We start from the raw sequence: 24,859 nt of genomic DNA, 5'->3' as shown, positions 1-24,859 counted from the left end.
GGACTTCGAGGACGTGAACGAAGGTCTGCTGGAGCAGAGGAACTGAATTTGACAAGGCAAACGGGGACCCCAGGACGAGTCTGCCGGCAGTGGATATAAGGTCGGTGCCCTAAAGAGGTAATGGGAGCAGTGCTTTAAAGAAGTACTGGGAACGGGAAGTTTTCTGAATCAGGGTAACAAGGGGAAGAATTCGTCTATTAAAGAAAAACATTATGTGCAGTTGCTTAAAGTTCTGCTGAGACAATCTAGAGCTCAGGTTAATTCGCAGACACTAACCTCCTGCAGAAGCCACAAAAGGTTATTACACATAACCCACGGTTTCCACAGGCAGGCACTCTCGATGTGGAAAATTGGGATAGGGCAGGAGAAGGATTAAAACAGGCTCATCCAAAAGGTCTTAAAGTTGATTCTTCTGTTTTCTCCACTTGGAGTTTAGTTCATACTGTACTTGTGCCATTATCTCCTCATTATTCTGCTGGACAGCAGGCTAAGTCTAAAAATCTGAAAGAATCTGTTGTCCCACCCACAGCTCCAACTGAAAATAAAAAACAGGAGAGGGAGATAAAAATTGGCCTATACCACTTCCTCCAATTGCAGAAACATCTGTACCACCTCCTTCAGTAGCAGAAATACAAACCCCAATACAAAGAATTTTACACTCTGCTGCCATAGCTGGAGAGCCCTTAGGACCTTGCGCTTTTCCTATTTCTGTAAGGCCTGATCCAAATAATCCACAGCAGGTTATTCATGAACACACACTAGAGTTTAAGTTGTTAAAGGAATTAAAAGTGAGTGTGGTAAATAATGGCGTACAAAGCCCATTCACCTTAGGATTGCTAGAATCTGTGTTTGGTGCTATGCATTTTTTGCCCTTTGATGTGAAACACTTGGTGCGAACTTGCTTGTCTGTGAGTGTATATCTGACATGGAATTTAAATTGGCAAAAACCTTAACTCTAGCTTTTGGGAATGCAAATGTGCACTGGCACCGGTGAGGTGTACAAAAAACTTGGGAAATTTTCTCAAGAGCTTGTCAGGATGTAGGAACTGAGCTTCATCGCTCTGCAATGTTAGCGCAAGCAATGGCTAATTTAGCAGTTGACAAATCTAAAAGAAGCCAAGGGTCAAACCCTAAAATGGGAAAATGTTATAATTGTGGAAAAACTGGACATTTTAAAAAGCAATGCTGCCAGATCTCAGGACAGAAAGGACCTTACAATGCTGTCCACCGCCCCCCCAACAGACTCCAGCGGAAAAAACGCCAGGACTTTGTCCTTGCTGTAACAAAGGAAATCACTGGACTAATCAGTGCTGCTCAAAATTTCATCAAAATGGCACCCCCCTGCCGGGAAGTGAGACGGGGGCCTGAACCCGGGCCCCACAAACAATGAGGGCCTTCCCAGTACAGACCTCAACCCCGTTTCAGGGATGGGTTCCCGGAGGCCCATTGATTCCCTCACCCCAGAAACACCAGGAAGTGCAGAATTAAATCTACCCACCAGAGAAAAAATCATGTTAGTTGGTGGAGACAAACCTATCAAAGTTACCACTGGTATTTGGGGACCTTTACCAACAGGATACATGGGACTAATTTTAGGCAAAAGCCGTCTTAATTTGCAAGGCATCACTATAGTCCCAGAAGTGACTGACTCCTATTATGAAGTAGAAATTCAAGTAGTTTTAATGTCACAAAATCTTTGGGGTTTTGAACCAGGAGAATATATTTCTCAATTATTGCTTATTCCCTGCAAATTACACCCTTCTCAACAAAAGGAGAAACGAGGAAATAAAGGGTTTGGGAGCACAACTATATGGGAAATCGATCTATCCTGACCCATTGCCTCTAATAGACCCACCTGTGTAGTACAAATTAAAGAAAAGAAATTTTATGGGCTTATGAATACGAAAGCTGATGTATCAGTAATATCTAAAGACAACTGGCCCCTATCCTGGCCCTTACAATTAACTTCTACGTCCCTAGTGGGAGTAAACAGCTCAAAGTGTTCAACAAAGCGCTGAGATTTTATCTTGTATTGGTCCGGATGGACAGTCATATACTTTTCAGCCTTATGTTGCAAATATAGCTATCAATTTATGGGGTCGAGACTTACAGCATGGGATATGAGACATACAAATGAAAACTTTAATAATCCAGGATTTAAAATGTTGAAAGACATGGGATATCAAAGGGAAAAAGGTTTAAGAAAATTTCTACAATGAAATCCTAACCTGATATCAGTAACTGGAAAAACAAATAAAGAAGGGCTAGAACGTCAGGATTTCTGACGGGGGTCATGATATTTCTCCTCCACCCACTGCCTTACCATTAGAATCGCTTAGTGACAAACCTGTGTGGGTGGATCAATGGCCCCTAACACATAAGAAGCTAGATCAACTTCATCTGTTGGTAAAAGAGCAATTAAATGCAGAACATATAGAAAAGTCAGTTATCCCCTGAAATTCACCGGTATTTGTTATTCCAAAAAGGTCCAAAAACAATAATGACCTCTGGGGTTTCAGCTCAAAGCTTAAAGCTAATTGCAGTCATTCAGGTTTTACAGCTCATAGCTTCAGATCCTATCAACACTGTGATTCAGCTTGGGTTATAAATGTAGCCAGTTGCATAAAAACTGCTACAATTAAAAGTACACTAGACCCAGAACTGCTTAATTTATTTTTAAGACTTCAATAAGTTATTTGCGCTCATACAGCTCCTTTTCATGTTTCTCATATTCGCTCTCATACACAACTTCCTGGGCCACTATCTCTAAGTAATGAGAAAGCAGAAAAACTAATTGGTTCTGTGTTTCAGCAAGCTCAAGTGTCTCATGCACTTCTGTACCAAAATACTTCCGCCCTTACTCGCATGTTCCATTTATCTTGCCGACAAGCTAGGGCTATAATACAAGCCTGTCCTATTTGCCAGCATGTCCCTGGAGCCACACCTGTAGAAGGCTGTAACCCATGAGGTTTGGCTCCAAATGAAATTTGGCAAATGGATGTTACACACATAGCAACCTTTAGCAAGCTTAGCTATGTTCATGTGACTATAGACACTTATTCTCATATGCTGCATGCTACATGCCAAATAGGTGAGACAGCTGGTCATGTACAGCAACATTGTCTGTCATCATTTGCTCATATGGGGATACCTAAACAATTAAAAACTAACAGTGGACCCGCTTATACTCGTCATGCTTTTCAAAATTTCTTACAGCTTTGGGCTATAACCCATAAAACAGGAATTCCTTATAATCCTAGAGGACAAGGCATTATAGAGCAGGCACATCAAACATTACAACACATGTTGAAAAGACAAAAGGGGGTATACGAGGCCAACTACCACCTCAATCAAAACTACATTTAGCCTTATTTACTGTAAATTTTTTGACTCCTGGTATGAATGGTTAAGACTCCAGCAAAAAGACACTGGCAAGCGTTAGAGGAAAAGAGGAAAGTTTATCCGAAAGTGTTATGGAAATCCCCAAAAGAAGGACAATGGAAAGGTGTGGTGGACTTACTGATATGGGGAAGATGGTATGCTTGTGTGTTTACAGGAGATGGACAAACTGTGCGTGCGACCATGGAACGGGAGACTGGAGGAACCTATGGTGGCCAACCATGAGCCCGGTCCCTCCGGTACGAGCCATGAGCCAGCTGAGCCTGAGTGCAAAGATGGAGAGAGGGCCGATAGGAGTCACGACACAGCTCTAATGCTACATTTTCTGTAAAATTCGATGGACCACCAATTGGATAGTAAGAGCTGCCCAGCCTGGACTTACATTCTTTCAATTAATACATAAAACAAAAAGGGGGATATGCAGGGAGCCGAAGGCCCGTGGGACGTGACCAGCTCAGCATTTCGCTGGAGGCTATATGATCAAACAGCAAACTGTTTATCATGAATGCAGGATGTGGGCAAACTCACATTGTCCTGCCACCAAAACGTTTGCTGAGGGACATCATTCCCTGATGGCTCCTTGAAGTTATCTACGGAGAAAATTAGCGCCTATTGTTCAAAGCATGTAGTTCAAAGCCTGCTGTGAACCAAACAGCTGACTGACAATTACCCGACAATCACCGCCCCCAACCCCGCTTTTTCGCTATCTCTTTTGCCTAATAAATATGGAGGGCTGTGTAAACCAGGGCCCTTGTCCACTAGAGGCAAGGTTCCCCCTGACCCCTTCTTCCAAATATACTCTTTTGCCTCTTGTCTTTTATTCCTGCGTTCGCCCCCCTTTGTTCAATCCAAACGTGGAAGGCAAACTATTTATAGCTCAGTATATATGTGCTTAAGTCTGTGTGAACAGAGAAATGCCTCCCGCAGTGTTTGAAAGTGTTAAGCTGATAATGTAACTAACAATTGCAGAGAGAACAAACGTTCAACTTGCCATACACCTCAAATTTGGAGAAACAGAGTTAATTTGGGCAAATCTACAAGTTCTGTTTTCGTTCCTATATTATCATTGTTGTTTAATACTCACTGTACTTGTAGTTGAGACAAATAGGTGCTACTGAATTTTATACTCTATTTTCTTTTTCATTAAAACATTGGCATCTTAGTGATATAGAAATTTAAGGTATAAAATTAAATGTAAAAATTTCAGCTTCGTTTCATATATATATGTATATATATTTTTTGAGACGGAGTCTTGCCCTGTCGCCCAGGCTGGAGTGCAGTGGAACGATCTCAGCTCACTGCAAGCTCTGCCTCCCAGGTTCACGCCATTCTCCTGCCTCAGCCTCCTGAGTAGCTGGCACTACAGGCGCCTGCCACCATGCCCGGCTAATTTTTTGTATTTTTAGTAGAGACGGGGTTTCACCGTGTTAGCCAGGATAGTCTTGATCTCCTGACCTCGTGATCCACCCGCTTCGACCTGCCAAAGTGGTGGGATTACAGACGTGAGCCTCCGTGCCCGGCCTCATTTCATATTTTGAAGCAATCTAGACTGCTGTAATGAGTCTGAACCTATAAGTCTTAAAGATTTCTTAATCTTCTAGAAGAAAAAATCTCCAAAGATCTCTCTCTTCGTCCAGAATAGCTGGCCATTATGCTTCTTTGAAAGGACAGGGCAGTGGGACCAGGATGGTTTTTTGGAGTACCAAGCTATGGAAATGGAGCACTTTAAGGGTGCCTCTTAGTAACATGAATTAGGAAATCTGTGTTGAGTACCTCAGTCTAAACAGTAAAACAAGCTGCCTGGAGAACAGCTGTACCTAATGTACATTAGGCAGGCTGGTCTCTTTAGCTCAAATGATCTGCCTGCCTCGGCCTCCTCAATTTCAGGCAGGTTCCTTTCTACCAGATTTAATTATTTTTATAGAAATATAAACTGCAGAAAGAAACTGCAGGTTCTTCTTAAAAAGTAATCTATACTTTTGAACTGATATTTGTTTTATACATGAATTTTTTTTAGATGTGATAAAGCTAAACTTGGCCAAAGTGTGTGCCTGAATTATGAGACTTTTTTATTAGTCTACCTATGAAGGCTGAAATGGGATATATTGGTTTTCAAGGGGATGGGGGTGGGGTTCCAGCATAGTATCAAATCTCAGGAAAAACTATGCTTTCATCTGTGATTCCGGGATTTCTAATCGTGTTGTCCACAATGAAGATAAATGCAGCAAATAAATCTAGCTTTCAGTATTCCTTAATTAAGTTTTACCTAAGCTAATTGCTCTAGGTTTTGATTACCTAAAATAAGCTTGGGTAAAACTGAACCGACTTCAAGAATGCAGCACTTCTTAATCTTTAGCTCTTTCTTGGGAGAAGCTATACTTTATTGTTCATTATATTGCTATCACAACTTTGCTCTTTCATAATACAGGATAAATTGTTTACATGTTTGGAGCCTCAGAGTCTGTTAACCAAGATTGCAGAGTGTGTCAAGGAAAAATACACTTTCTTAATGGCATTTGTGTTTTCTTTGTGAAAAATCAGTCACATAGTGTTAAGAAAGGGTCAAAGGTTTATAAGTTGCCCCCAATGGCCATACTTAGAATTATGATTCTCATGGGTTTAAAGATGTAATTTTTTAAAGTCAGTGTTTTACCACCTAGTTATTTGATCTTGTCCAATTTTGTGTTTTTTAAAAAGTGTAAAACTGGAAGGCAAAGAAAAAAGACTATTTTCAGTAAATATGTTGTTTTGTCATTATTAATAGAATGTAATGGGCCTTTGAGATCTTAAGTACTTATGTTACCTTTGTTATTCAAATGCTGAACTTAAGCAGTGAAATAATAGAAATTATTTGAAGGAAGTTATTAAGGGGTTTAACTATTTTAAGTCAATATTTAGCTTATTCATATTGGTTTCCTGAAGATGTCAGAATTTATTTTCAGTGTAAGACAAATATTCAAAAGTAATAGATCAAGTTTAAAATGTAAATCCACTGTACGTATTATATTGATACCATCATTTTCAGGATATACATAAGAGGACTGTGATACACAATTAGTAATCTCAGGGTTTTTCCCCATATATCTAAAAATTTAGACTGTACTTATTTCTCTTTTAGTTCATCAATTTCTCTTAGCAAAATAAATTTAGTTTGGTATTTGATGTTCTATTAAAAAAACTATTTCCAGGCTTGAGCCAGTTTAGAGACCTATAACACCTTGAATGAAGGGGAGACTGAGTCTTCCTTAAGAACTTCAGAAAACTATCTAAAATCTATACTGTATCTTTCAGCCTTCACCATAGGGACCTACAGCCTTTAACTAGAATAACTGCATTGAGGAAAAGGAAATATAGACCTTTTGGGAATTACTGGACACGGGCTTTGACATTTACTCCAGGAGACCCAAAATATCACTGTGATCATGTCAGAATAGTGGCTTATGGAGGTCACAGAATCAATGGAAATTTAGGTCATGTCCATTTCACAGTGGACCAAGTGGATACCCAAGCCCATGCTGTGGTTATTTCCCCAGTTCTAAATTGTGTAATTGAAATCGATATACTCAGCAGCTGACAGAATCCCACACTGGTTCTCTGACCTGTGGAGTGAGGGCTATTGTGGTGAGAAAGGCCAAGTGGAAGTCAATAGAACTGCCTCTACCTAGGAAAATCATATATCAAAAGCAATACCATGTTCCTAGGGGACTGCAGAAATTAGTACCAACATTAAGGACTTCAAAGATACAGGGGTGGTTGACAGAGCAAGAGTACTGCCATCTTGAACAACTACTGTCATTTTTAAATTCACCTTAATAAAAAACTGCCTAAATCCAAAGGGCATCAGTGTAATGGCTAAGGCAGCACGACTGTAAACCACAAACAACATCTCCAACCAGAAACATCCCGAACTCCTCCTCAACCAGAGACATGCTAGCCCTGAGATAAACCCCCTCTGGGTGGGAAGATGCCAGCCTCGAGATAAACCTCTTCTGGCCGGAAAGATGTCAGCCCCAAGATAACCTCCCCTCTGCCCAGAGACATTTTAACTCCACCGTAAAACTTCTCCCCCACAAAGAAACATTCCAAGCTTGTAATAAGCCCCTTCACCCTAAAACCAATATATACTCTTAGTCTGTAAGAGAAAGTGCTCCTGACTGAAATCGGCCAGAAGCCCCTCTCAGGTTTATTTTCTCTACAATAAATCTGTCTTTAACTGTTAAGCCACATTTTGTGTTTCTTTCCTCTTTAACTCTTACATTGGGGATTCCCACCACATCCCCATTGAACCATCCTGTTTGTCCTGTGCGGAAGACAGATGGATCTTGGAGGATGACACTAGATTAAGTTTAACCTGGTGGTGTCTCTAATTGCAGACATTGTGCCAGATGTGGTTTCACTGCTTGAGCTGTTGGTATACAGCTATTGATCCGGCAAATGCCTTTTTCTCCATCCCTGTCCATAAAACCCATCAGAAGTAGTTTGCTTTCATTTGGAAAGGCCAGAAATACACCATCCCTGCCTACATTAGGGGTACATCAACTCTCCAACACTATGTCATAATTTAGTTCACAGGGATCTTTTTTTTTTTTTTTTTTTTTTTTTTTTTTTTTTTTTTTTTGAGACAGGGTCTCATTCTCTTGCCCAGGCTGAAGTGCAGTGGCACGATCAGAGCACATTGCAGCCCCAACGTCCCACGCTCAAACAATCTTCCCACTTCAGCTTCCCGAGTAGCTAGGACTCCAGGCATGTATCACCACATGTGGCTAATTTTTAAAAATTTTTTTGTAGAAACAGGGTCTCAATACATTACCCAGGCTGGTTTTAAACTCCTGGGCTCAAGCAATCCTCCCGCACTGGCCTCCCAAAGTGCTGGGATTACAGGCATGAGCCACTGCACCCAGTGGGATCTTGATCATTTTTCCCTTTCAAGAGATATCACACTGGTCCATGACATCAATGAGATTATGGTGATTGGATTTAGTGAGAGAGAAATAGTACCTACTGTAGACATTGGTAAGATAGTTGCATGACAGAAAGTGGAGAATAAATCCGAAAAAAACTCCAGGGGCCTTCTACCTCAGTGAAATTTCTAGGGCATATTGAGATACTCCTTCTATTTGATATTTTTTTTGTTGTTTGCTTTTTTTGAGATGGAGTCTCACTCTTGTCGCCCAGGCTGGAGTGCAGTGGCACAATCTAGGCTCACTGCAACCTCTGCCTCTCGGGTTCAAGTGATTCTCCTGCCTCAGCCTCCCAAGTAGCTGGAACTACAGGTGCATACCACCATTGCCCAGATAATTTTTGTATTTTTAGTAGAGACAGGGTTTCACCATGTTGGTCAGGCTGATCTCGAACTCCTGACCTCAAGTGATCTGCCTGCCTCGGCCTCCCAAAGTGCTGGGATTACAGGCATGAGCCACCATGCCCAGCCTCAATTTTTAATTTTTTTGAGACAGAGTCTCAGTATGTTGTGCAGGCTGGTCTCAAACTCTTAAGGTCAAGTGATCTGCCTGACTTGGCCTCCCAAAGTGCTAAGATTACCGGCATGAACCACTGTGCCTGGCCAGAGATATTCCCTCTAAAATGAAGGGTAAGTTGTTGCATCTGGGCCCTCCTAAAACCAAAAAATGAGGCACAACACCTAGTAGGGTAACATGGTTTGGCTGTGTCCCCATCCAAATCTCACTTTGAATTGTAATCATCCCCACGTGTAAAGGATGGGGCTAGGTGGAGCTAACTGAATCATGGGGGCAGTTTCCCCCATACTGTTCTGTGGTAGCAAATAAGTCTCACGAGATCTGATGGTTTTATCAATGGGAGTTCTCCTGCAGAAGCTCTCTTGCCTGCCACTATGTAAGATGTGACTTTGCTCCTCATTCTCCTTTCACTGTGATTGTGAGGCCTCCCCAGCCATGTGGAACTGGGAGTCAATTAAATCTCTTTTCTTTATAAATTACCCAGTCTCAGGTATATCTTCATTAGCAGTGTGAGAACAGACTAATACATAGGACCTCCTTGGATTTTGGAGGCAACATATTCCTCATATGGCTTTGTTACTCTGGCCTATTTATGAAGCGACCTGAGAAGCTGCTAGTTTTGAGTGGGGTCCAGAATAAGAAAATGCTCTGCAACAGCTCCAGGCTGCTCTGCAAGCTGCTCTGCCACTTGGGGCATATGATCCAGCAGATCCAATGACAGTGGTGCTTGAAATGACAGTGGCATTTAGGGATGTTGTTTGGAGCTCTTGGCAGGCTCCCATAGGTGAACCACAGCTCAGGCCCTTAGGATTTTAGAGCAAAGACTTGCCATCTCCTGCAGATAACCACTCTCCTATTGAGAACAGCTCTTGATCTGCTACTGGGTTTTAGTAGAAACAACACTTGACCATAGGCCACCAAGTTACCATTTGACCTGAGCTGCCCATCATGATCTGGGTGTTATCTGACCCACCAAGCCATAAAGTTGGGTGTGCACACCAGTGCTCCATCACCAAATGGAAGTGGTAAATATGTGATGGGGCCTGAGCAGGCCCTGAAGGCACAAGCTACATGAAGAAGTGGCCCAAATGCTCATGGTCTCCACTCCTGATACACAGTCTTCTCTCTCCCAGTCTGCACCTGTGGCCTCATGGGGAGTTCCCTACAGTCAGCTGACAGAGGAAGAGAAGACTTGGGCCTGGTTTACAGATGGTTCTGCATGGTATGTAGGCACCACCCCAAAGTGGACAGCTGCAGCACTATCACCTCTTCCTAGGACATCCCTGAAGGACAGTGAAAGGAAATCCTCCCAGTGGGTAGAACTCCCAAGCAGTGCACCTAGTTGTTCACTTTGCTTGGGAGGAGAAATGGATAGATATGCAATCATATACTGATTTGTGGGGTGTGATGAATGGTTTGGTTAGATGGTCAGGAACTTGGGAGGAACATGTTAGAAAACTAGTGACAAGGAAATTTGAGGAAAAGGTAGATGGATAGACTTCCTTATGTGGGTCAAAAAAAGTGAAGACATTTATGTCCTGTGTGAATCCTCACCAAAGGTGACCTCAGCAGAGGAGGATTTTAATAGTCAAGTGGACAGAATAATAGTTTCTGTGGATACCAGTTAGCCTCTTTCCCCAGCTATCCTCTCATTGCCCAATGGGTTCATGAACAAAGTGGCCATGGTACCAGGGATGGAGGTTATGCATGGGAACAGCAACATGCACCCCCACTCACAAAAGCCAACCTGACTATGACCACTGCCGAGTGTCTAATCTACAACCAGCAGAGACTATCACTGAGTTTCCAATATGGCATCATTCCCGGGGAGATCAGTTATCTGGTTGATTACTCTGGATTGCTTCCATCAGGGAAGAAGCAATGTTTTGTCCTTACTGGAACAGACACTCTAGATACTGGTCTGGCTTCCATGCACACAAAGCTTCCGCCTAAACTACCATCCATGGTCTTACAGAATTCCTTATCCACCATCATAATATTCCATATAGCATTGCTTCTGGTTAAGGAACTAACGTTACAGCCAAAGAAGTGCAGCAATGGGCCCATGCTCATGGAATTCACTGCTCTCACCATGTTCCCCACCACCCTGAAATAGCTGGCTTGAAAGAATGGTGGAATGGCCTTTGGAAGATTCAGTTACAGTGCCAACTAGGTTACAATACCTTGCAGGGCTAGGGTAAGATTCTCCAGGAGTCTGTATATACTCTGAATCTGTATCTAATATATGGTGCTGTTTCTCCCACAGCCAGGATTCACAGATCCATGAATCAATGGGTGGAAATCAATGGGTCCCTATCAACCCTAGTGACCCACTAGCAAAATTTCTCCTCCTGTTACAGAGATCTTTTGGTCTGCTAGCCTAGAGGTTTCAGTTCCAAAGGGAGGAATGCTTCCGCCAGGAGACACAACGATTCCATTGAGCTAGAAGTTAAGGCAAAGAAGGGAGTTGTGGTGTTGGTTGGAGTGATTGATCCTGTCTACCAAGAGGAAACTGGAATACTACTCTACAATGGAGGGAAGGAAGAGTATTCTAGAATACAGGAAATACTCTAGAGAATCTCTTAGTGTTACCATCCCTTATGATTAAGGTCAATGGAAAACGACAACAACCCAACCCAGGCAGGACTACTAATGGCCCAGATTCTACAACAATGAAGCTTTGGGTTACCCTACCAGTAAAGAACTATGACTAGTTGAGTTGCTTGCTGAAGGCAAACAGAATATGGAATGGGTAGTGGAAGAAGGTAGTTATAAATATCAGTTATCATGTGACCAGTTAGAGAAACAAGGGCTGTAATTGTCATATTTCCTGCTTATTTTGTTATGAATATATTTGTTTGTATGTATCAAATACTTTTGTTTTCTTCCCTCTCTTATCCCCTTATCATGTAACATAAGATGTATTGGCTTTAAATAATAGTATTTAAGAATTGTTAACTTTACATCATAGTATTTAAGTTACAGGATATCAAAGAAAAGAGTTAACATCAGTGAAGGACTTTACCTCTTTTTCTGGGGAAAAGGTTAGTGCGTTTTCGGTTGTAGGTAGAACAGTTGTATCATGTTAGATGGAATTATGACCTTGTTATGGTCTTCATTTGAAGATTAAATGTGGTTTAAGGAGGTGTATATGGGTGCCAAGTTCACAAGGCATGGATTTGTGATGGTTAATTGTGTCAACTTGACTGGGTCTTGGGGTACCCAGATATTTAGTCAAACATTATTCTGGGGTTTCTTTGGGGGTGTTCCTGGGTGGCAGGAACATTGAAATTGGTAGACTGAGTAAAGCAGATTGCCCTTCCTGATGTGGGTAGGCCTCACCCAATCAGTTGAAGGCCTGAATAGAACAAAAAGGATTACCCTCCCCGAAGTAAGAGTGAATTATCCTGCCTGACTGCCTTCAAACTAGAACATCAGCTTTTTCTTCCCTTCAGACTTAAACGGAAACATCAGCTCTTCCTGGGTCTTGAGTCTGCCAGCCTTTAAACTGGAACTACACCATTGGTACTCCTGGGTCTTCCTCCTGACAACTCAACTAGCAGATATTAAGACTTGTCAACCTACACAATCATGTGAGCCGACTCCCTACAATGAATCTTTGTCTTTCTTGCTCTCTGTCTCATATATATCCTATTGATTCTGTTTCCCTGGAGAAACCTAATACAGATTTGAAAATAAATATTTGTATAAATTAAATCTATTTACATGTTAGGTTCTAAAAAATTATTATTACTTAGAGATGGGGTCTAGTTATATTGCCCGGGCTTGAGTACAATGGCTATTCATAGGCACAATCATCGTATGCCACAAACTCAAACTCCTGGGCTCAAGCAATCCTCTTGCCTCAGCCTCCTGAGTAACTGGGACTACAGGTGTGGGCCACTGTGTTGGGCTCAAAAATTAATTTTGGCCAGGCATAGTGGCTTGTGCCTGTATCCCAGCACTTTGGGAGGCTGAGGCGGGAGGATCTCTTGAGGCCAGGAGTTCAAGACTAGCTCTGGCAACATAGACACAGTATCTACCAAACAGAAAAATTAATTTTAATTGTTAAAAAATTAATGTTTTAAATGTTAAAAAATTTAAATTTTAATGCATTTAAAAATAAAATTTAAATGCATTAAGAGTGCTTTAAAATAAATTGCACTGAAACATTAAAAAAAAACCCAGGTGTAATCCTGAAATCTATAAATTCACCTATAGATCTTTTTTTTTTCACTTTTTTAAAAATTATACTTTAAGTTTTAGGGTACATGTGCACAATGTGCAGGTTAGTTACGTATGTATACATGTGCCATGCTGGTGTGCTGCACCCATTAACTCGTCATTTAACATTAGGTATATCTCCTAATGCTATCCCTCCCACCTCCCCCCACCCCACAACAGGCCCCGGTGTGTGATGTTCCCCTTCCTGTGTCCATGTGTTCTCATTGTTCAGTTCCCACCTATGAGTGAGAACATGCGGTGTTTGGTTTTTTGTCCTTGTGATAGTTTGCTGAGAATGATGGTTTCCAGCTTCATCCATGTCCCTACAAAGGACATGAACTCATCATTTTTTATGGCTGCATAATATTCCATGGTGTATATGTGCCACATTTTCTTAATCCAGTCTATCATTGTTGGACATTTGGCTTGGTTCCAAGTCTTTGCTATTGTGAATAGTGCTGCAATAAACATATGTGTGCATGTGTCTTTATAGCAGCATGATTTATATAATCCTTTGGGTATATATATACCCAGTAATGGGATTGCTGGGTCAAATGGTATTTCTACTTCTAGATCCCTGAGGAATCGCCACACTGACTTCCACAATGGTTGAACTAGTTTACAGTCCCACCAACAGTGTAAAAGTGTTCCTATTTCTCCACATCCTCTCCAACACCTGTTGTTTCCTGACTTTTTCATGATCGCCGTTCTAACTGGTGTGAGATGGTATCTCATTGTGGTTTTGATTTGCATTTCTCTGATGGCCAGTGATGATGAGCATTTTTTCATGTGTCTTTTGGCTGCATAAATGTCTTCTTTTGAGAAGTGTCTGTTCATATCCTTTGCCCACTTTTTGATGGGGTTGTTTTTTTCTTGTAAATTTGTTGGAGTTCCTTGTAGATTCTGGATATTAGCCCTTTATCAGATGAGTAGATTGTGAAAATTGTCTCCCATTCTGTAGGTTTCCTGTTCACTCTGATGGTAGTTTCTTTTGCTGTGCAGAAGCTCTTTAGTTTAATTAGATCCCATTTGTCAATTTTGGCTTTTGTTGCCATTGCTTTTGGTGTTTTAGACATGAAGTCCTTGCCCATGCCTATGTCCTGAATGGTATTGCCTAGGTTTTCTTCTAGGGTTTTTATGGTTTTAGGTCTAACATTTAAGTCTTTCATCCATCTTGAATTAATTTTTGTATAAGGTGTAAGGAAGGGATCCAGTTTCAGCTTTCTGCATATGGCTAGCCAGTTTTCCCAGCACCATTTATTCAATAGGGAATCCTTTCCTCATTGCTTGTTTTTCTCAGGTTTGTCAAAGATCAGATGGTTGTAGATACGTGGCATTATTTCTGAGGGCTCTGTTCTGTTCCATTGGTCTATATCTCTGTTTTGGTACCAGTACCATGCTGTTTTGGTTACTATAGCCTTGTAGTATAGTTTGAAGTCAGGTAGCGTGATGCCTCCAGCTTTGTTCTTTTGGCTTAGGATTGACTTGGCCATGCAGGCTCTTTTTTGGTTCCATATGAACTTTAAAGAAGTTTTTTCCAATTCTGTGAAGAAAGTCATTGGTAGCTTGATGGGGATGGCATTGAATCTATAAATTACCTTGGGCAGTATGGCATTTTCACGATATTGACTCTTCCTATCCATGAGCATGGAATGTTCTTCCATTTGTTTGCATCCTCTTTTATTTTGTTGAGCAGTGGTTTGTAGTTCTCCTTGAAGAGGTCCTTCACATCCCTTGTAAGTTGGATTCCTAGGTATTTTATTCTCTTTGAAGCGTCATCCTGCATTTAATTATTGCCTCAATTTCAGAGCCTGTTATTGGTCTATTCAGAAATTCAACTTCTTCCTGGTTTAGTCTTGGGAGAGTGTATGTGTCGAGGAATTCATCCATTTCTTCTCGATTTTCTAGTTTATTTGCATAGAGGTGTTTATAGTATTCTCTGATGGTAGTTTGTATTTCTGTGGGATCGGTGGTGATATCCCCTTTATCATTTTTTATTGCGTCTATTTGATTCTTCTCTCTTTTCTTCTTTATTAGTCTTGCTAGCGGTCTATCAATTTTGTTGATCTTTTCAAAAAACCAGCTCCTGGATTCATTGATTTTTTGAAGGGTTTTTTGTGTCTCTATTTCCTTCAGTTCTGCTCTGATCTTAGTTATTTCTTGCCTTCTGATAGCTTTTGAATGTGTTTGCTCTTGCTTCTCTAGTTCTTTTCATTGTGATGTTAGGGTGTCAATTTTAGAACTTTCCTGCTTTCTCTTGTGGGCATTTAGTGCTATAAATTTCCCTCTACACACTGCTTTGAATGTGTCCCAGAGATTCTGGTATGTTATGTCTTTGTTCTCGTTGGTTTCAAAGAACATCTTTATTTCTGCCTTCATTTCGTTATGTACCCAGTAGTCTTTCAGGAGCCAGTTGTTCAGTTTCCATGTAGTTGAGCGGTTTTGAGTGAGTTTCTTAATCCTGAGTTCTAGTTTGATTGCACTGTGGTCTGAGAGACAGTTTGTTATAATTTCTGTTCTTTTACATTTGCTGAGGAGTGCTTTACTTCCAACTATGTGGTCAATTTTGGAATAGGTGTGGTGTGGTGCTGAAAAGAATGTATATTCTGTTGATTTGGGGTGGAGAGTTCTGTAGATGTCTATTAGGTACACTTGGTGCAGAGCTGAGTTCAATTCCTGGATATCCTTGTTAACTTCTGTCTCGTTGATCTGTCTAATGTTGACAGTGGGGTGTTAAAGTCTCCCATTATTATTGTGTGGGAGTCTAAGTCTCTTTGTAGGTCTCTAAGGACTTGCTTTATGAATCTAGGTGCTCTTGTATTGGGTGCATATATATTTAGGATAGTTAGCTCTTCTTGTTGAACTGATCCCTTCACCATTATGTAATGGCCTTCTTTGTCTCCTTTGATCTTTGTTCGTTTAAAGTCTGTTTTATATGAGACTAGGATTGCAACCCCTGCCTTTTTTTGTTTTCCATTTGCTTCGTAGGTCTTCCTCCATCCCTTTATTTTGAGCCTATGTGTGTCTCTGCAGGTGAGATGGGTTTCCTGAATACAGCACACTGATGGGTCTTGACTCTTTATCCAATTTGCCAGTCTGTGTCTTTTAATTGGAGCATTTAGCCCAGTTACATTTAAGGTTAGTATTGTTATGTGTGAATTCGATCCTGTCATTATGATGTTAGCTGGTTATTTTGCTCGTTGGTTGATGCAGGTTCTTCCTAGCCTCAATGGTCTTTACAATTTGGCATGTTTTTGCAGTGGCTGGTACCAGTTGTTCCTTTCCATGTTTAGTGCTTCCTTCAGGAGCTCTTTTAGGGCAGGCTTGGTGGTGACAAAATCTCTCAGCATTTGCTTGTCTGTAAAGGATTTTATTTCTCCTTCACTTCTGAAGCTTAGTTTGGCTGAATATGAAATTCTGGGTTGAAAATTCTTTTAAGAATGTTGAATGTTGGCCCCCACTCTCTTCTGGCTTGTAGAGTTTCTGCCAAGAGATCAGCTGTTAGTCTGATGGGCTTCCCTTTGTGGGTAACCCGACCTTTCTCTCTGGCTGCCCTTAACATCTTTTCCTTCATTTCAACTTTGGTGAATCTGACAATTATGTGTCTTGGAGTTGCTCTTCTCGAGGAGTACCTTTGTGGTGTTTGAATGTTGGCCTGCCTTGCTAGATTGGGGAAGTTCTCCTGGATAATATCCTGCAGAGTGTTTTCCAACTTGGTTCCATTCTCCCCGTCACTTTCAGGTACACCAATCAGACGTAGATTTGGTCTTTTCACATAGTCCCATATTTCTTGGAGGCTTTGTTTCTTTTTATTCTTTTTTCTCTAAACTTCTCTTCTCGCTTCATTTCATTCATTTGATCTTCCATCACTGATACCCTTTCTTCCAGTTGATCGAATCGGCTACTGAGGCTTGTGCATTCATCAGATAGTTCTTGTGCTGTGGTTTTCAGCTCCATCAGGTCCTTTAAGGACTTCTCTGCATTGGTTATTCTAGTTAGTGATTTGTCTAATCTTTTTTCAAGGTTTTTAACTTCTTTGCCATTGGTTCGAACTTCCTCCTTTAGCTTGGAGTAGTTTGATTGTCTGAAGCCTTCTTCTCTCAACTCGTCATTCTCCATCCAGCTTTGTTCCATTGCTGGTGAGGAGCTGTGTTCCTTTGGAGGAGGATAGGCACTCTGATTTTTAGAATTTCCGTTTTTTCTGCTCTGTTTTTTCCCCATCTTTGTGGTTTTATCTACCTTTGGTCTTTGATGATGGTGACATACAGATGGGGTTTTGGTGTGGATGTCCTTTCTGTTTGTTAGTTTTCCTTCTAACAATCAGGACCCTCAGCTGTAGGAATGTTGGAGTTTGCTGGAGGTCCACTCCAGACCCTGTTTGCCTGGGTATCAGCAGCAGAGGCTGCAGAACAGCAGATATTGGTGAACAGCAAATGTTGCTGCCTGATCATTCCTCTGGAAGTTTTGTCTCAGAGAAGTACCCGGCCGTGTGAGGTGTCTGTCTGCCCCTACTGGGGGGTGCCTCCCAGTTAGGCTACTCGGGGGTCAGGGACCCACTTGAGGAGGCAGTCTGTCCATTCTCAGATCTCCAGCTGCGTGCTGGGAGAACCACTACTCTCTTCAAAGCTGTCAGACAGGGACATTTAAGTCTGCAGAGGATTCTGCTGCCTTTTGTTTGGCAATGCCCTGCCCCCAGAGGTGGAGTCTACAGAGACAGGCAGGCCTCCTTGAGCTGCAGTGGGCTCCACCCAGTTCGAGCTTCCGGGCCGCTTTACCTACTCAAGCCTCAGCAATGGCGGGTGCCCCTCCCCCAGCCTCGCTGCCACCTTGCAGTTTGAGCTCAGACTGCTGTGCTAGCAATGAGCGAGAATCTGTGGGCGTAGGACCCTCCGAGCCAGGGGCGGGATATAATCTCCTGGTGAGCTATTTGCTAAGACTGTTGGAAAAGCGCAGTATTAGGGTGGGAGTGACCCGATTTTCCAGATGCCATCTGTCACCCCTTTCTTTGACTAGGAAAGGGAATTCCCTGACCCCTTGTGCTTCCCGAGTGAGGCAATGCCTCGCCCTGCTTTGGCTCACGCTCAGTGCACTGTACCCACTGTCCTGCACCCACTGTCAGACACTCCCCAGTGAGATGAACCTGGTACCTCAGTTGGAAGTTCAGAAATCACCCGTCTTCTGCATCGCTCATGCTGGGAGCTGCAGACTGGAGCTGTTCCTATTCGGCCATCTTGGCTCCACCCCAAATTCACCTATAGATCTATAGAATTTATAGATCTTGAAATCTATAAATTCACCTTACTGTACAATATGGATTAAAAGTACTTGAGACACAGAACGACTAAGGCAGCTGCCTGGAGACTTGGATCCACTAAGTGGCTGAACTGAGATTTACATGGGAAAGATGAAAATTACATGAAATAAATTGTGTAAGGGACACTGGCTGATCATATGCAAAACGGTCTACTTATTTCAGAATAAGAACAGTATTCTTTAAAAAACACCCAGGTGTAGTAAATATTCTCTGGTGGTTAATAAAAAGTCTAAAAATTCACAAAGTATTCCCTACACTCATGTATGGACTTTTTTTTTTCTTTTCTTTACAGTGGTGCAATCTAAGCTGACTGCGACCTCCGCCTCTCAGGTTCAAGCCACTCTCCTGCCTCAGCCTCCCAAGTAGCTGGGATTATAGGCATGTACCACCATGCCCGGCTAATTTTTGTATTTTTAGGAGAGACGGGGTTTCACCATGTTGGCCAGGTTGGTCTCAAACTCCTGACCTCTGGTGATCCACTTGCCTCAGCCTCCCAAAGTGCTGGGATTACAAGCGTGAGCCACCATGCCCAGCCTAGACAGATTTTTTGTTTTTGAGACAGGGTCTGGTTCTACTGCCAGGCTGGAGTGCAGTGGCACAATCTCGGCTCACTGCAATCTCTGCCTCCTAAGCTCAGGCAATTCTCATGCCTCAGCCTCCTGGGTAGCTGGGACTACAGGCACGCACCACCATGCTTGGCTGATTTTTGAATTTTTAGTAGAAATGGGGTTTCGCCATGTTTCCCAAGCTGGTCTCGAACTCCTGGCCTCAACTAATCCACCCTCCTCGGCCTCATAAAGTGCTAGGATTACAGGCGTAGCCACCCAGCCAAGGAATCAATTTAATTAAGTAATTCTATTGTTATATGTTTTCCTATTTTTTTCTAAAAGAAAATAATTAAGAATAAATTTCCATCAAAAATCAGTATTTGGCTAATTGTTAACTTCAAAATCCAGTAATACAGTCACTTGCTGCCACCAGCCCCCACACCGTGTCTTCCCATGGCTCCACCGCCCTGCTCTTCCACAGGTTGCAATGGAAATAGAGATCGCCGCGCTCATCATTGACAATGGCTCTGGCATGTGCAAAGCTGGCTTTGCTGGGGATGGATGGCCCCTGAGCTGTGTTCCCCTCCATCATCAGGTGACCCCGGCACCAGGGTGTGATGGTGGGCATGGGCCAGAAGGACTCCTACATGGGCCATGAGGCCCAGAGCAAGCACGACATCCTGACCCTGAAGTACCCTATCGAGCATGGCATCATCACCATCTGGGATGACATGGAGAAGATCTGGCACCACACCTTCTACAACGAGCTGTGCATGACCCCAGAGAAGCACCCGGTGCTGTTGGCCGAGGCCCCTCGAACCCCAAGGCCAACAGAGAAAAGATGACTCAGATCATGTTTGAGACCTTCAACACCCCAGCCATGTATGTGGCCATCCAGGCCGTGTTGTCCCTCTAAGCCTCTGGGCGCATCACTGGCACTGTCATGGACTCTGGAGACAGGGCCACCTACATGGTACCCATCTACGAGGGCCATGCCCTCCCACCACGCCATCCTGCGTCTGGACCTGGCTGGCCAGGACCTGACCAACTACCTCATGAAGATCCTCACCAAGCTTCACCATCACGGCCAAGCAGGAGATTGTGCGCGACATCAACGAGAAGGTGTGCTACATCGCCCTGGACTTCGAGCAGGAGATGGCCACTGCCACATCCTCCTCCTCCCTGGAGAAGAGCTATGAGCTGCCTGATGGCCAGGTCAGGTCATCACCATCGGCAACAAGTGGTTCTGGTGTCTGCAGGTGCTGTTCCAGCCTTCCTTCTTGGGCATGGAATCCTGCGGCATCCACAAGACCACCTTCAACTCCATCATGAAGTGTGACGTGGACATCCGCAAAGACCTGTACGCCAACACAGTGCTGTCCAGCAGCACCACCATGTGCCCTGGCATCACCACGCTGGCATCCAGCACCATGAAGATCAAGTTCATCATGCCCCCAGAGCACAAGTACTCGGTGTGGATTGGTGGTTCCATCCTGGCCTCACTGTCCACCTTCCAGCAGATGTGGATTAGCAATTAGGTATGTGGCCCCTCCATCATCCACTGCAAATGCCTCTAAATGGACTGCAAGCATGTGGGTTAGCCATCAGGTATGTATGATGAGTCTGGCCCCTCCATTGTCTACCGCAAATGCCTCTAAATGGACTGCGAGCAGATGTGCAGCATTTGTTGCATGGGTTAATTCAGCAGTATAAATTTGCCCCTGGCAAATGCATACACCTCATGCTAGCCTCACAAAACTGGAATAAGCCTTCAAAAAGAAATTTGTGGCCAGAAGTGGTGGCTCACGCCTATAATCCCAGCACTTTGGGAGGCCGAGACGGGTGGATCACAAGGTCAGGAGTTTGAGACCGGCCTGGCCAACATGCTGAAACCCCGTCTCTACTAAAAATACAAAAATTAGCCAGGCATGGTGGCATTCGCCTATAATCCCAGCTACTGGGGAGGCTGAGGCAGGAGAATCACTTGAACCTGGGAGGCAGAGGTTGTGGTGAGCCGAGATTGCACCACTGCACTCCAGCCTGGGCAACAGGGCGAGACTACGTCTCAAAAAAAAAAAAAAAAACATACACAGAAAGTTGTCCTTGAAGCTTGTATCTGATATCAGCACTGGATTGTAGACTTGTTGCTGATTTTGACTTTCTATTCAAGCTATATTCAAGTTAACTGTTCCCCTTGGTATCTGTTTAATACCCTGTACATGTCTCTGATTTCAACCTTTAGTACATGTGGCTTGGGCACTTTGTGGCTGAGGTAAGAACGTGCTTGTGGAAGACAAGTCTGTGGCTTGGTGAGTATGCGTGGTCAGCAGTCTCCAATATGTGCAGGGTATTAATGTGTCATCAGGGCTGAGTGTTCTGGGATTTCTCTAGAGGCTGGCAAGGGCTCCTGAACCAGTTGTTTCTGTCCTGCCGGTCTGTCAGAGTTGGAAAGTCCAAGCCATAGGACCCAGTTTCCTTTCTTAGCTGATGTTTTCCTGCCAGAACACCGTGGGCTGTTACTTGCCTTGAGTTGGAAGCGGTTTGGATTTACACCTGTAAATATATTCATCCTTTTAATTTATGTAAGGTTTTTTTCTACATAATTCTAAATTCTTTAAAGAGATGACAACAAATTTTGGTTTTCTACCGTCATGTGAGAACATTAGGCCCCAGCAACACGTCATTGTGTAAGGAAAAATAAAAGTGCTGCCGTTAAAAAAAAATCCAATAATAGAGAGTGGGAGAAGGAGCAACTGGAGAGGGAGAGTGAGAGCAAGAAAGAATGAGGGACAGAGAGAAAGAAAAAAGGAAAGAGGAAGGGAGGGAGGGAAGGTAAAACAATGGGGGAATAACAACTAAGAAAATGAAATCAGTTATGTTCCTTTAAAGCAGCACCTAATAATAGATGCTGATTCTGATAATAAAAGATATAGCTTCCATGTTACCAGAAAAAATTGTGAAAAGAGCAGATTGAATCTAATAAAGTATTTAAATACTACACATATGCACACCAACAAAGTATCATGATGAGCAGGAGGAAGGCAAAAATCAGGTTAAGTCGAATGATTCCCACAGAAGGTCAGAGAAGTGCTGTATACTGCAGCCCCCACACAGCCCCTCTCTGGTAGTAGGAGCCATGCACTAGATCTTGCACTGGACCAAGACGTTCAAAGAGGGAACTGTGTGAAACACCACACTGTTCAAATATAATTTCAAAATAATTTTATTTTACTTATTTTGAGATGGAGTTTCGCTTTTGTTGCCCAGGCTAGAGTGCAATGGCACGATCTCGGCTCACTGCAACCTCTGGCTCCTGGGTTCGAGTGATTCTCCTGCCTCAGCTTCCTGAGTAGCTAGGATTATAGGCATGCACTACCACATCTGGCTAATTTCGTATTTTTAGTAGAGACGGGGCTTCATCATGTTGGTCAGGCTGGTCTCGAACTCCTAACCTCAAGTGATCCACCTGCCTCAGCCTCCCAAAGCACTGGGATTACAGGCGTGAGCCACCACGCCTGGCCTTCAAAATAATTTTAAACTAGAAAAACACAGTTACAAATGTTAGAGATACTTTAAAAACATTTATCATTATTTTAAAAATTATAACTATTGATAACTCTCACCCCTGGAACTGAAATGCAGCACTGTCAGGTACCTGGGCACACAGACTAGGAATCTCTACTTTAATGAGAGAAGGCTTGCACTTTTTTTGCCCTTGGAAACTTCTAATTTGGAGGGACATACATTTTGTTTTTGGCCTTTTTGTGCTTAATGTGTGATGAACACCCTTGCATATGGCCCCTTATATATCTGTGTACTTCCCTGGGATTTATTGTACCCAGGAACAGAATTGTTGGGTCATACAGTAAATGCATATACTTTTTTTTTTTTTTTTTTTTTGAGACAGAGTCTCACTCCGTTACCCAGGCTGGAGGGCAGTAGTGTGATCTTGGCTCACTGCAACCTCTGCCTCCTGGGTTCAAGCGATTCTCCTGCCTCAGCCTCCTGAGTAGCTGGGATTACAGAAGTCCACCACCACATCCAGCTAAGTTTTGCATTTTTGGTAGGGACGGGGTTTCGCCATGATGGCCAGGCTGGTCTGGAACTCCTGAGTGACCTCAGGTGCTCCACTTGCCTCGGCCTTCCAAAGTGCTGGGATTGCAGGCGTGAGCCACCGCACCTGGCCCAGTAAATGCATATCTAATTTGACAAGGTACTTCCAGACAGCTCTTCGGAACAGCTGCCCTAGTCCACACTCCCATCAGCCATGCAGGAGGGTTTGTAGGTCCTTACACCCCCACCGCCACTTGGCATTATCCTGCTTCTTAAATTTGTCGGGCTGATAAACTGGTATCTCACTGTTATTTTAATTCCTCATACTTGCAATGATCTTGAACACCTCATCATATACTGCTGGCTTTTCAAATTTCTTCCTCTGCAAATTGACTATTGTATGCTTTGGCTAATTTTCTATTGGCGTTGCTGTCTTCTTTTTCTTTCTTCCTTCTTCTTTTGTCCTTCCCCTTCCTCCTCCCCCTTCCTCCTGCCTCCTCCTCCTTCTTTTGTTTTGTTTTTAAAAACAGGGTCTTGCTTGTCACCCAGGCTGCAGTGCAGTGGCATGACCACAGCTCACTGTAACCTCAAACTACTGGGCTCATGTGATCCTCCCACCTTAGCCTCCCAAAGTAGCTAGGATGACTGGCATGTGCCACCACAACCAGGTAATTTAAAAAAAAATTATTTTTTCTAGAGACAGGGTCATGTTGTATTGTCTGGCTGGTCTCAAACTCCTGGCCTCAAGCAATCCTCCTGCTTCAGCCTCCCAAAGTACTGGGATTACAGGTATAAATCACTACACCCAACCTCTCTTCTTGATGATTCACAGGAAATCTTTTTATATTCTAGGTATCAAATCCCTTGTTGGTTTATGCATTGCAAATATCCTCTCCCAATCTGCACATTATCTCTTACTTTTGTCCATAGTGTCTTTCATTGAGCACAAATCCTTAATTTTGCTATAATCCAATCATCTCTTCAGCATATGGATTATAGTCTTGAAGTTTTGTCCAAGCCCCTAGGTCACAGACATCTCCCTACAATTTCTATTAACATTACAGTTTTATTTTCACATTTAGGTCCTCAATCTACCTAGAATTCCTTTTTTTTTTTTTTTTTTTTTTGAGACGGAGTCTCGCTCTGTCACCCAGGCTGGAGAGCAGTGGCACCATCTTGGCTCACTGCAACCTCTGCCTTCCGAGTTCAAGCGATTCTTCTGCCTCAGCCTCCTGAGTAGCTGGGACTACAGGCACACACCACCACACCCGGCTAATTTTTTGTATTTTTAGTAGACATGGTGTTTCACCATGTCTGGTTGACCAGGCCAGTCTTGAACTCCTGACCTCAAGTGATCCGCCCACCACAACCTCCCAAAGCGCTGAGATTACAGGCGTTGAGACACTGTGCCTGGCCCCTAGAATCCATTTTTGTACATGTCATGAGGAAGGGATCCAGTTTTATTGTTCTCTGTCATGAGCCAGTTTTCTCAACACCTTTAACTAAGCAACTGTCCTTTCTCCCTTGATTTGTTATACAATAGGTTTTTATATACAGGTGTCTGTATCTATGCTGTTGTATTGGTCTACTTGTCTGTTTCTGTGCCAATGACACATTGTTTATATTTCTTTTTTTTTTTTTTAAGACAGAATTTCGCTCTTGTTGCCCAAGCTGGAGTGCAATGGCGCAATCTTAGCTCACCGCAACCTCCACCTCCTGGGTTCAAGCGATTCTCCTGCCTCAGCCTCCCGAGGAGCTGGGATTACAGGCATGCGCCACCACACCCAGCTAATTTTGTACTTTTAATACAGGCATGTGCCACCACGCCCAGCTAATTCTGTATT

General features: G+C 43.0%; 1 protein-coding gene and 1 pseudogene across 4 annotated transcripts in view; one reads left to right on the top strand and one right to left on the bottom strand.

Annotated features, from left to right (window-relative positions):
* KANTR (KANTR integral membrane protein) overlaps positions 15,442 to 24,859 on the bottom strand; it is a 53,780-nt gene continuing 44,362 nt past the window's right edge. For all 4 annotated transcript variants that reach the window (NR_145973.2, NR_110456.3, NR_145974.2 and 1 more), the window contains one exon: positions 15,442 to 21,515. The gene's annotated coding sequence lies outside the window, so the exon portion shown is untranslated. The remainder of the gene's footprint in view (positions 21,516 to 24,859) is intronic.
* On the top strand, positions 19,379 to 21,675 carry ACTG1P10 (actin gamma 1 pseudogene 10; annotated as a pseudogene).

The sequence above is a fragment of the Homo sapiens genome, chromosome X (assembly GCF_000001405.40).
Source record: "Homo sapiens chromosome X, GRCh38.p14 Primary Assembly".
NCBI classification, from domain to species: Eukaryota; Metazoa; Chordata; class Mammalia; order Primates; family Hominidae; genus Homo; species Homo sapiens.
This window is presented reverse-complemented; position numbering and strand designations above follow the sequence as displayed.